At 43.5% G+C, this 12396-nt stretch overlaps 1 protein-coding gene across 21 annotated transcripts in view; it reads left to right on the top strand.

Annotated features, from left to right (window-relative positions):
* The window catches only part of EFCAB6 (EF-hand calcium binding domain 6), a 283528-nt gene that overhangs the window by 72318 nt on the left and 198814 nt on the right, over positions 1-12396 (top strand). For 20 of the 21 annotated variants that reach the window (XR_007067980.1, XM_047441462.1, XM_011530319.4 and 17 more), the window contains 2 exons: positions 3995-4131; positions 8177-8289. Coding sequence is in view for 20 of the 21 variants with exons in the window: in XM_047441462.1 (XP_047297418.1) it covers positions 3995-4131; positions 8177-8289 (250 nt within the window). In the remaining variant the exon portion in view is untranslated. The remainder of the gene's footprint in view (positions 1-3994; positions 4132-8176; positions 8290-12396) is intronic. The other variant, XM_011530325.3, reaches the window with a different exon arrangement.

Genomic DNA, 12396 nt, shown 5'->3' with positions numbered 1-12396 from the left:
AGGGGGTGGCCAGGAGCCAGTCGGGTGTGGCCTGGTGGGTCACAGCGAGTGGAATGGGAGCCCTGGGGGGTTTTGGCCACGGAGGGCATGCTCAGACTCACATTTAAACATAAACTCCTTGGCTGCTTCGTGGAGTCAAGTGTGGAGGCTGGAGGACCAAGCGGGAGGCTTGCACTAACCCGGAGTGCGGGGAGAAGCGGGGTGGGGGTGGTAAGACATGATTGCATTGTGGAAATGGTCTGGAGGGAGGGGCTGATGGGCTCTCCTGATATACTGCATATGGGATGTGAACAAAAAGGAATCCAGTAGAATGGATTTACCATTTATTGGGATGGGAGACTGTGGGTAGAGCAGCTTGGGTTTGGTAAACCTGAGATGTCTGTTAGAGTCTCAAGGGGGACATCAAATGGGCAGCTGGATATTCTAAGCTGGGCTCTGAGAAGAGTCCAGGGCTCAAGACAGACATGTGGGAGTCATCAGTGGGACATTGAAGCCACAGGAGTGAACCACCAAGAAGTTAGTGTGGTCAGAGAAGCAGAGAGGGCTGAGGACTGAGTCCTAAAATGCTCCAGGCTTAGAGATGGGAGGAGGAGGAGGAACTAGCAAGGGAGACTGAGAAGGAGACTCCAAGGAGGCTGGAGAAGAAGGAGAGAGAGCATTGGCTCTGGAAGCTAAGTAGCAAAAGTGCCTCAAGGAAGAAGGGCCAAGCAGCTGTGTCAAAGGCGGCTGCTGGGACAGCAAGATGAGGACTGAGAAGTGGCCCTTGGGTTTGACAAGGTGGAAGTCTTTGGTCATGCTGACAAGAACAGTGTTTGTGCAGTAGTGTGGACAAAAGTGATTGGAGACGTTTTAAGAGAGGGGGACACATTGGAGATAATCTTGAGGGGATTTCAGTGCAAGGGAATGGGTGACTGGAGGAAGAGGTGAGGCAAGGAGGGAGGTTCTATTTCTGAGACAGCTCATCTTCATGGGGTGACCTGAGAGGGAGTAGGACGGGCAGGAGCACTTCCTTGCCTGGGGACAGGGTCAGGGTCATGTGCATCACGTGGCCCCACCTGGCCATAGGTAGGATCACGGAGGTTCATCCCTTGATCCCTTACAACAGGACAGGAGGCACCTGTCTCATGTGGGGATGGAGCCAGGCCAGCTGCAAGTGGGTGTGGGGAATGGGAATGCTGTCTTTTAGTTGTTTCTGTTTTCTCTGTTAAATAAGAGGTAAGGTTGTCAGTAAAGCAGGAGGTGGAAGGAGAAATTGGAGGTTAGGAAAGTGGAGAAGGTGGGAATGGCTGTGTGGATGGGGTATGTGCAAGTGTGTGTGATGGTGTGTATGACAGTATATGCAAGTGTGTGTGAATATATATGCAAGAGAATGGGTGTATATGTGTGTGAGTGATGGTGTGTGTGTGATTATATGTACAAGTGTGTGTGCATGTGAGTATATGCACAGGTGTGTGTGAATATATGTGTGAGATATGGTGTGTGTGAGTATATGTGCATGTGTGTGTGTGAATATATGTGTGTGTGAGTGATGGTGTATGTGAGTATATGTGCATATGTATGTGAATGTATGTGTGTGAGAGATGTGTGAGTACATGCATGTGTGTGTGAATATATGTGTATGTGATTGATGGTGTGAATGAGTATATGCAGGTGTGTGTGAATATATATGTGTGAGTGACGGTGTGAGTGTGAGTATATGCAGGTGTGTGTGTATATGTGCATGTGTGTGAGTGAATATATGTGTGTGTGATGGTGTGAATGTGTGAGTATATGCACGTGTGTGAGTTTGAGTATATGCAGGTGTGTGTGCATATATGTGTGTGAGTGATGGTGTGAGTGTGAGTATATGCACAGGTGTGTGTATGAATATATGTGTGTGATGGTGTGTGTGCATGTATCTGCATGTATGTGTGTGTGAATATATTTGAGTGATGGTGTGAATGTGTGAGTATATGCAGGTGTGTGTGTGTGAGTGTATGTGCATGTGTGTGTGAATATATGTGCGAATATATGTGTGTGAGTGATGGTGTGGGTATGCAAGTATATGCAGGTGTGTGTGAGTATATGCATGTGTGTGATATGTATATGTGAGTGATGGTGTGAGTGTATGCGAGTATATGTGCATGTATGTATGTGTGAGAATATATGTGTGTGAGTAATGGTGTGAGTGTGTGTGAGTATATGCACAGGTGTGTGTGTGTATGAATATGTGTGTGAGTGATGGTGTGTATGCCTGTATCTGTGCATGTGTGTGTGTGAATATATGTGTGAGTGATGGTGTGAGTGTGTATGAGTACATGCACAGGTGTGTATGAATATATGTGTGTGTGAATGATGGTGTGTGTGCATGTGAATATCTGCATGTGTGTGTGTGAATATATGTGTGTGAGTGATGGTGTATGTGTGAGTATATGCACAGGTGAGTGTGTGTGTATGAATACATGTGTGTGTGAGTGATGGTGTGTGTGCATGTATCTGTGAATATATGGGTGTGAGTGGTGTGTGTGTGAATATATGCACAGGGGTGTGTGTGTATGAATATATGTGTGTGTGAGTGATGGTGTGTATGCCTGTATCTGTGCATGTGTGTGTGTGAATATATGTGTGAGTGATGGTGTGAGTGCGTATGAGTACATGCACAGGTGTGTGTATGAATATGTGTGTGTGTGAGTGATGGTGTGTGTGCATGTATCTGTGCATGTGTGTGTGACAGTGATGATGTATGGGGTGGACCATGTCAGTAAAGAGGGATTACCACGCAGCACCCGTCCTGCTGGAGTTAATGGTCTCAAGTTAGGAGAGCCAGGGAGGTGTGCCCATTCTCTTCAGCCACGTCAGGCCATTTGGACAGGTTTGGAAGAGGCGGTGAGTTGGGTTTACCCCAGGTTAGGGTCTCACCAAGAGAGTAGGAGAGGGCAGAGGGGAGGAGGGAGTCAAGCATATATGCCAAGCAGCGAAGGTGTTGATGGGAGGGTTAGGAAGGAAGTGAGGCTGAGAGGCATGGAGGAGTGTGGAGGGAGGCCGGAGCTCAGGGGAGGGCCCAGTGGGTCAAGGCTGTGAGCTTTGGGCGCCCAAGGGAGTGAACTGGAAAGATGGGGGGTGGGCGGCTGCAGCGTGGGGCTGGATTGTGCAGAGTCAGCAGTCCTTCGTAATAACAAGGTGTGGAGTGTGAGCAGGGAGCAGTCAGTTTCCGTATCTAACACTGGGGAAATGGTACCTCCTTCAGAGGGGTTGAAAGGCTTCCATCACACAGCTCTGTGTTTCTTTTCTTTGAGTAGTTTAAGGCCAAGAGCACAACTGGGTGCTCCCTGTGGATCCACAGGGTCTATCCTAACATTGTGTGCGTCTGTGAGCCCAATAAATATCCTGGGTGCTCCCTGCAGATCCACAGGGCCTATCCTAATGTCGTGTGCGTCTGTGAGCCCAATAAATATCCTGGGTGCTCCCTGCAGATCCACAGGGCCTATCCTAATGTCATGTGTGTCTGTGCACCCAATAAATATCATTTGCTGAATTTGGAGAAGTCGCTACAAAACTTTCCTGTGATATCTTTAAAAAATTTAGAGGGGTTGAAATATACAGTCATATTTTCCAGCTCCTATTAAAAATAGTTTGCATATGGCTGTGAAAAATAAAAATTGTACAAGTCCAGCCATGCCAGAACTGTAGTTTTTAAGTATCAATTAACAAAAAAGATTTTTTCATATGGCCCTAGAAGGGAATGAATTGTGTATGAGACTTACTGCTTTACATGAGAAAGAGATTTTTTTTAAATTACTAAGACCATTTACAGAGAAAATTGCCTTGAAAACATTCAATAAATGCAAAGTGTTCTTTTTCCGTAGACATGTCATTTTTGCCATGCCTACCACTGTGAGTCTTTGAAAACATTTTATTTTATAAAAAGTATTAAAAAAAACTTTCACATTTTTATTACCATTTGGTTCCTAACACTAGATCTTTTGACTTTTCCTAAATCACTTTTTGTACATAGGTTTTCAAAAACATTAAGACTGTTATGAAAGCCTTTGAGCTCATTGATGTTAACAAGACTGGACTGGTTCGACCGCAGGAGCTAAGAAGGGTTCTGGAGACCTTCTGTATGAAGTTAAGAGACGAGGAATACGAAAAGTAAGCAAATGAAGGCACGGTGAGAGATTGCTCAGTAGAACTTTTAACCAATTTCAGAATGAGACCTGTTGGGTTCATTGGCTCCATCCATCTCTCACCTCCCCCTGCCACACACACACACCTTATTTCTCAAAGAGGCACTCACTGGACATTCTCTCATGTTCCTAAAGCTCCCCATGCATTCTCAAAAATGAGAGCTAATGGTTCTCATTCCTTAAGCACCCTTGGGGTCCGTCCTCTGGCCCGCAGCTCTGAACACATCCAGGTTATTGGAGTAATCCATCACCAATTGTCTCTTTCCCCACTTGGCACTGTGCCCGCCCCCCCATCCCACATATTTCTAGTTCACTGTTGATTTTTACTCAAAGCCTGGGGTTAGGAGAAGAATGACAAATTTCAGGATTCACGTGTTGTTGCTGTGCTCCCCGTTGGCTCTGCATCCTGATACAATAATGGAGACTTAATTTTCCTTTGAGGACCGTTGTTGCTGAGGTGGAGGGGTGTGCGGCAGGAGGGTGGGGTGTGCGGCAGGAGGGTGGGGTGTGCGGCAGGAGGGTGACGAACAGCAGAACATTTAGCTGCCTCATGGTGTTTGAACGCCACCACCACCTGCTCCTGACTCCAAGGGCAGCACACAGAAGCCTGCACGGGCATTTTTTTGAGCCTCCTATAAACTCCACATCATTTAGAAGAAGCCAAATGTTTGGCTTCTGTGACTACATGAGTTTTGAGTGAAAGCCACTGGAAGATGGGCCCGTGTCTAGCTTAATTTCTACAGTACCCAGCCGAGAGGTCCATTCCCTCTTCGTGCCTTTTCCCAAACACTTTTCTAAATACGCTCCAGACCATTAACAAAAGCACCAAGCCTCATTTCACCCGGAGCCCAAGCTTTTCGCATTGCACTGGTGTTCTAAGTTGCTATGAAAATGGGTCCCGGTAGCTCCTTGTATCTCATAAAGACAATGTGGCTGCTGCTAGAAGCAGAGTGGAAGAATTTGCCCCTGAGGCAAGGAAGTCTAGAGGGCATGTGACATGTCACTGATGCTGCAGGGCCTGAAAAGCAGGCAGACTTGAAAAAATAGCATCTGTTTCTCTTTTGAGTATGTTTTTCTTTTTTTTTTCTCTTTATAACCCACCTCAGAATATAAAACACATAATAGATGTTTTAATTTTTACATCTTTTCCGGCTGGGAAAGTGTCCAGAATAAGATCCAAACAAAACAAATTAAATAATTTTGTGCACGCAATTATAGAACAGAGGCAGCACTCTTCTAAAACAGGCAATCAAAAAACAAAACAGTGTTTTATTTGACAATAAACCTTGTGTTTGGCACTGCAGTCTCCAACCTAGTAAATCTATAAAAAATGTTACTGTCTGTTTCCCCATCTCATAAGTATTGAATAATAACTCCACAAATTTTTATTTGAGATTTTTTAAGCCTCAAAAACAATGCTATTTTCATGATAAGGCTTGAGAAAATGAACATAATAGAATTGCTTTCTTTTAGACTCAGAAACACAGAAGATCAAAAGTAGACCATTTCTTCAATTGCTTTAATGCTTTTCTTATTGAAGCTCAAGAATATACTCTTTCCTGGAGAAGCTGCTTCAGTATTAACTTTGTCTTTTTTATTTTTGAGCAAGAAACAATGCATTTTTGAATCCTCTCTTTTATCTAACAGCTTTCTATTTAATATCAACATTCGGCTCTTGGTGTGGTAGAAATGGCCCAGGCTTTGAAGTCAGGCTGCTGGAGGTGAAGTCTGTGCTCTCTCCTCCCTGGTTCTAGGGCCTCAGAGTAGCTCCTGGGCCTTGTCAAGACTCAGTTTTCTCTTAAAGAAATGGGGACTGGCCGGGCGCGGTGGATCACGCTTGTAATCCCAGCACTTTGGGATGCTGAGGCAGGCGGATCATGAGGTCAAGAGATTGAGACCGTCCTGGCCAACATGGTGAAACCCCATCTCTACTAAAAGTACAAAAATTAGCCAGGCATGGTGGTGCACACCTGTAGTCCCAGCTACTTGGGAGGCTGAGGCAGGAGAATCGCTTGAACCCGGGAGGCGGAGGTTGCAGTGAGCTGAGATCGCACCACTGCACTCCAGCCTGGCAACAGAGCGAGACTCCATCTTAAAGAAAAAAAGGGGGGACTGAGCAGCCCACCTCTCAGGGCTGGGATGAAGACTCAACAAAATGTAAACAACATGCCTGTGATGCGCTTGCACATAGTAGGGCTGATTTCACAGTGACCATCTCATCATCATAAAGACTCCGTGAATGCCCTTTACCCTCTGATGACCTGTTCCATTTAGGCAGCAGACTACTCTCCAACCTACATAAAACAAGAGGCCAGAGATACAATTACCACCAAGCCCCATACTTAATCAGGACATCTCAAAACCCATTGAGTGTTGTGTTTCCCATCTCCCTCCAGCCTACTCTCCACTGCCCTGGAGGCCAGTGTGTTTGATATAGGTGAAATCATTTATGAGCAGCCTTGTAAAACCAGCAAACAAATCACTACAGTTCAGCCTGTTGCCTGAGCAGATGAATGAAACCCAGTTCCAGGTGGTGACGCTGGAGAGGTTTATGAGCTGATTGGAGTCATACCCTTCTCCCCTCAATTGGGTCTTCTGGTTTCTCAAACTTACCACCTCATTTTCACAAGACAGAGACCGTAGATGAAAGATGAAGCTCTTTAGGGAGTTTCACTGTTAACATCTGGCAGCGATCACACCTAGAGATCATTTATCTTATTAAAACAATAGGCAAGAGTCATCAAAGTGGAAAAAAAGGTATGCATTGAAATAACTACATGGCATTACTCTTTGTTAAATTTGGAAAACAGAAAAATAAATACTTTAAGTGATAATTACCAAATTTTTAGAAAGCAGTATGAGATTAGATAATTATAGAAATCAACACATATGGAGATAATATAACCAAACATTTAAAAACCATCAATTTTTAGAAATGTGATAACACAGAAATGATCTAGAAAACCATTTATCAGGTGGAAGGCTTGAATAATAGAAAATTTATTTTAAAAATTCAAACATCTTATTTATCTTAACTTTAAAAAAAGGTTATCTCGGCTGGGCACAGTGGCTCATGCCTGTAATTCCAGCACTTTAGGAAGCTGAGGTGAGCAGATCACTTGAGGCCAGGAGTTCGAGACCAGCCTGGCCAACATGGAAAAACCCCGTGTCTACTAAAAATACAAAAATTAGCCAGGCGTGGTGGTGTATGGCTGTAATCCCAGCTACTCGGTAGGCTGAGGCACGAGAATCGCTTGAACTGGGAGGTGGAGGTTGCAGTGAGCTGAGATTGCAGCACCACACTCTAGCCTGGGCAACAGAGCGAGATTCTGCCTAAAAAAAAAAAAAAAAAAAAAGTATTTCAGTATGTTTCAGGAATAGACAGTGGTTCGCTGTTTTAAAAAGCCTTGTATGTTACATATAAAAATCACGAAATGCTTCAAGAGAAACTTTGCCTCCTCCACCCATCCCCTGTTTTGAAACCATATGCCATCTGTGGGCCTCAGTTTCTCTCTAGAGAAAGGATATGCTCAGTCGAGATCATCTCTGCTGGCTCCTCCACCCAGCTCTCCATTTCCCTGCTTATGGAAATTTTGTGCTGGCTGACTCATTTCCCTACAATTATTAAAGGCAAATGGGACCTGCTTCTGCTGTCGGAGTGGAGAGGCAGCTGCCGTGCAGACAGAGCCCCAGCTCCCCTTCTGCCAGAGCCGGGAGAAACTCCTTAGGTGCTGTCTAGGTTGGGGTATTCTTCAACAGGTCCAGCAACATTTCTGTCTCACTCTAATTTCTATGCATCCATCTGTAGGTTGGAGAAGTGATCTCGAAGTAGCTGCATTAAAAAAAAAATCTGACAGTAACATTTTCTGGGGTTTACTTTTTAATTCCCTCTGTAGCTAGAAACAGACATTAAAATTAATGCCAGCCCGAGTGTAAAGGATACCTTAGTAACAAACTTGCTTCATTTTAGATTCATAATTTCTCATTACTAAAGAACATTTGTATTTTAGGTTTTCGAAACACTACAACATCCACAAGGATACTGCAGTAGATTACAACGTGTTTTTGAAGAATCTCAGCATAAATAACGACTTGAACCTTAGATATTGTATGGGAAATCAAGGTAAGTATTTTTAAAGTATATAGCTAAAGATTTCAATATCTTTTGGCATGGTAATTCCTGTTCTTTGGATCATTCCTGAGGAAATACTTTCAAATATAGGAAATACATTATCTACAAAGCTAGCCATGGTATCATTATTTATAAGAATAACGTCAATGCCTAAGAATAGGAAAAGGCTAAATGAGTCACAATATAGCCATGTGGTAAAATCTACAGCCAGGAACAAGGATATCCATGAAGAGTTAATAATAACACAGAAGATGTGTGTGGAATATCTGTAGCGGATTGGAAAATATTCCAAAATACTCAGGTTGTCCTTAAGTGAGATGCCCCTGGCTGTGATTTTGTTCTTTCTGTTGCTTCTGTATTTTCAACTTTTTTTCTTTAATGATGGGAAAAATCTTAACAGAAAAGGGCAAATAGCTGAGTAATTTGCAGTTATGTTAGACAAGCAAAGCCAGGTCATTAGACATAACCTTGAGACAGAACGTGTTTCCTCGTGCGAACAGTCTTTACTCCAGCCTCCTCCATACGACGCCCAGGGTTGTCGGCCTGCTGGGTAGCTTTGGAGAGAGTCAGGGTCCAGTTCTTTAAGGATGAATGTCTGGCTCATGCAATTGGATCCTCTCCCTTCCCAGCCTTTGGTCATTTTCCTCACCTTAAATAAGATTTCCCCTCAGTGGTCTAGTGCTTTAGGAGTGACTGCCCCTGAATGACTCGCTCAAAATGGGTTGTCTCTGTGTGGTTTCAGCAGCAAATATTCAGGGACCATGTTCTATGATTCTCAGATCCCTCTCACTAGCAAGCTGAAAAATGGCAGATTCTCAGGTTTTAGCCTGGTTCCACTAACCAAGCTTGCTTAGAGCAGACTCCAGTGCTCTAGTTTTCGAAGCCTCCTGTGCCAGGAGCTGTGCAAAGCGTGTTCCTGCGTCGCCTCTTCATATTCCCCACGACCACGTGAGGCAGGTGCCAGTGCGACAAGGAAGAGATGGAAGTAAACAATCGAACCAAGCCCACTACCCAGAAATAACCACTGTCCACAGGGTTCTTGGCATCTCTCCGTGGCACATATATGGAAAGAAGAGTTAGGCAGAAAGAAATACATTTGTAAAAATGGGTTTATATAGATGCTGTTCTCTGTAAGAATGTACTTTTACCTGAGTGTATCAGAAGAATAGAAATTTAAACGAAACTCAAGAAAATGAGGAATACACCCTGCCTCTATATCTTGGATATAATGTCCACAGGTCACATCTCCCCCTTCAATATGTCGTAGACTTTGCTCCATTGCCCTCTGGTACTTAGTCTGATTGTGGAAAAGTCTGAGGCCTGCTTCATTTTTTCTCTTATGGATGATTTGTTTTCTCTGGCTGATTGCCTAAGAGGCATTTATCCTAGAACTCCATCCCTCCCTCCATCCCTCCCTCCCTCGCTCCCTTTCCTCCTTCCCTCCTTCCATCCTTCCCTCCTGCCCTCCTTTTCCTCTCCTCTCCTCTCTTTTTTCTTTCTTATTTCTACAAGGTCTCGCTTGCTCTGTTGCCCAGGCTTGAGTGCAGTGACACGATCATAGCTCACTGCAGCCTCAACCTCCTGAGCAATTCCAGCACTTTGGGCACAAGCAATCCTCCAACCTCAGCCTCCCAAGTAACTGGGACCACAGGCATGCACCACCATGCCTGGCTAACTTTAAAAAAAAAAATTCTAGAGACAGGGTCTCACTATGTTGCCAGGCTAATCTCGAACTCCTGTGCTTAAGTGATCCTCCTGCCTATACACAGTCCCAAAGAGCTGGGATTACAGGCGTATGCCGCCATGACCAGCACATATTCACAGTGATTGTCTTAGATCTTTTATCTATACCTGTAATTTGATTTTCACCAAGGTCTATCCTATTCTTTGCTGTTTCTAATTTACTTACTAGATCTCTAATGTTGTTTCTTTAGGTCTACAATATTATTTTCCATCTTATTTTGTTGGTTTATCATCTTGCCATTCAACTCTCCTTTTACTGAGTTCACGTTCTTATAGAGAGATTCTGTAAAGTAATTTTGTATCTGAAGTTACGTTTTCTTCCAAGGTGGGATCTCTGCCTTGTGTTCATTATGTTCCTCTCCTTCCTTCACTATCCACTCCTGGAGAGTTTGCGTACTTTCATGAAATTTGGATAAACTGAGTATTTTCTATTCCATTTTACTTCTTCTATTGACTTTTTATTTATTATTAAATTTTTTGGTGCTTGTTCTAGGGTGATATGGTTTGGATATTTGTCTCTTCCAAATCTCATGTTGAAATGTAATCCCCAGGCCAGGCATGGTGGCTCACGCCTGTAATCCCAGCACTTTGGGAGGCTGAGGCAGGAGGATCACTTGAGGCCAGGAGTCCAAGGACCAGCCTAGGCAACATTAGCAAGACCCTGTCTCTATTTAAAAAAAGAAAGAAATGTGATCCCCAGTGTTGGAGGTTGGACCTAGTGGGAGGTATTTGTGTCATTGGGGTAGATTCCTCATAAATAGCTTGGTGCCCTCCCCATGGTAATGAGTGGGTTCTTGCTCTGTTAGTTCACACAAGAGCTGGTATTTAAAGGAGACAGGCACCTCCTCCTCTGCCTTGCTCCCTCTCTTGCCACTTGATGCACTTGCTCCCTGTTCACCTTCCACCACCAGTAAAAAGCTTCTTGAAAGAAAACCTAGGCAATACCATTCAGGACATAGGCGTGGGCAAAGACTTCATGACTAAAACACCAAATGCAATTGCAGTGAAAGCCAAAATTGACAAATGCGATCTAATTAAACTAAAGAGCTTCTGTGCAGCAAAACAAACTATGATCAGAGTAAACAGGCAACCTACAGAATGGGAGGACAATTTTGCAATCTATCCATCTGACAGAGGTCTAATATCCAGAATCTATAAGGAACTTAAACAAATTTACAAGAAGAAAACAACCCCATCAAAAAGTGGGTGAAGGATATGAACAGACACTTCTCAAAAGAAGACATTTATGCAGCCAACAAACATATGAAAAAAAGCTCAACATCTCTGGTCATTAGAGAAATGCAAATCAAAACCACACTGAGATACCATCTCATGCCAGTTAGAATGGTGATCATTAAAAAGTCAGGAAACAACAGATGCTGGAGAGGATGAGGAGAAATAGGAACACTTCTACCCTGTTGGTGGGAGTGTAAGTTAGTTCAACTATTGTGGAAGACAGTGTGGCAATTTCTCAAGGATCTAAAACCAGAAATACCATTTGACCCAGCAATCCCATTAATGGGTATATACCCAAAAGATTATAAATCATTCTACTATAAAGACACATGCACATGTATGTTTATTGCAGCACTATTTGTAAGAGCAAAGACTTGGAACTAACCCAAATGCCCATAAATGATAGACTGGATAAAGAAAATGTGGCAGATATACACCAGGAGTACTATGCAGCCATAAAAAAGAATGAATTCATGTCATTTGCTGGTACATGGATGAAGTTGGAAACCGTTATTCTCAGCAAACTAACACAGGAACAGAAAACCAAACACCGCATGTTCTCACTCATTGTGAGAGTTGAACAATGAGAACACATGGACATAGGGAGGGGAACATCACACACTGGGGCCTGTCATGGGGTGGGGGCAAAGGGGAGGGATAACATTAGAAGAAATACCTAATGCATGTGGGGCTTAAAACCTAGATGATGGGTTGATGGGTGCAGCAAACCACCATGGCACATGTATACCTATATAACAGACCTGCATGTTCTGCACATGTATCCTAGAACTTAAAGTATAATTTAAAAAGAAAAAAAAAAAACTTCTTGAAGCCGAGCAGATGCTCGAGCTTCAAGGATGTACGAGCCATGCTTGTACAGCCTGCAGAACCATAAGCCAAATGAGCCTCTTTTCTTTATAAATTATCTAGTCTCAGGTATTCCTTGATAGCAATGCAAAGCAGACTAATAAATAAGGTTTCTAATATACATCTTTGATTAATCAGAACCTACCTCTAAGTAATATTATAGTAATTCATGTGCAGTGTATGGACCTTACTACAGTGTTTTTCCAGTTCTTCTCTCCTATCCTTTGTTATATTGCTGCCCTGCATTGTACT

Source organism: Homo sapiens, chromosome 22 (assembly GCF_000001405.40).
Source record: "Homo sapiens chromosome 22, GRCh38.p14 Primary Assembly".
Taxonomy (NCBI): Eukaryota; Metazoa; Chordata; class Mammalia; order Primates; family Hominidae; genus Homo; species Homo sapiens.
This window is presented reverse-complemented; position numbering and strand designations above follow the sequence as displayed.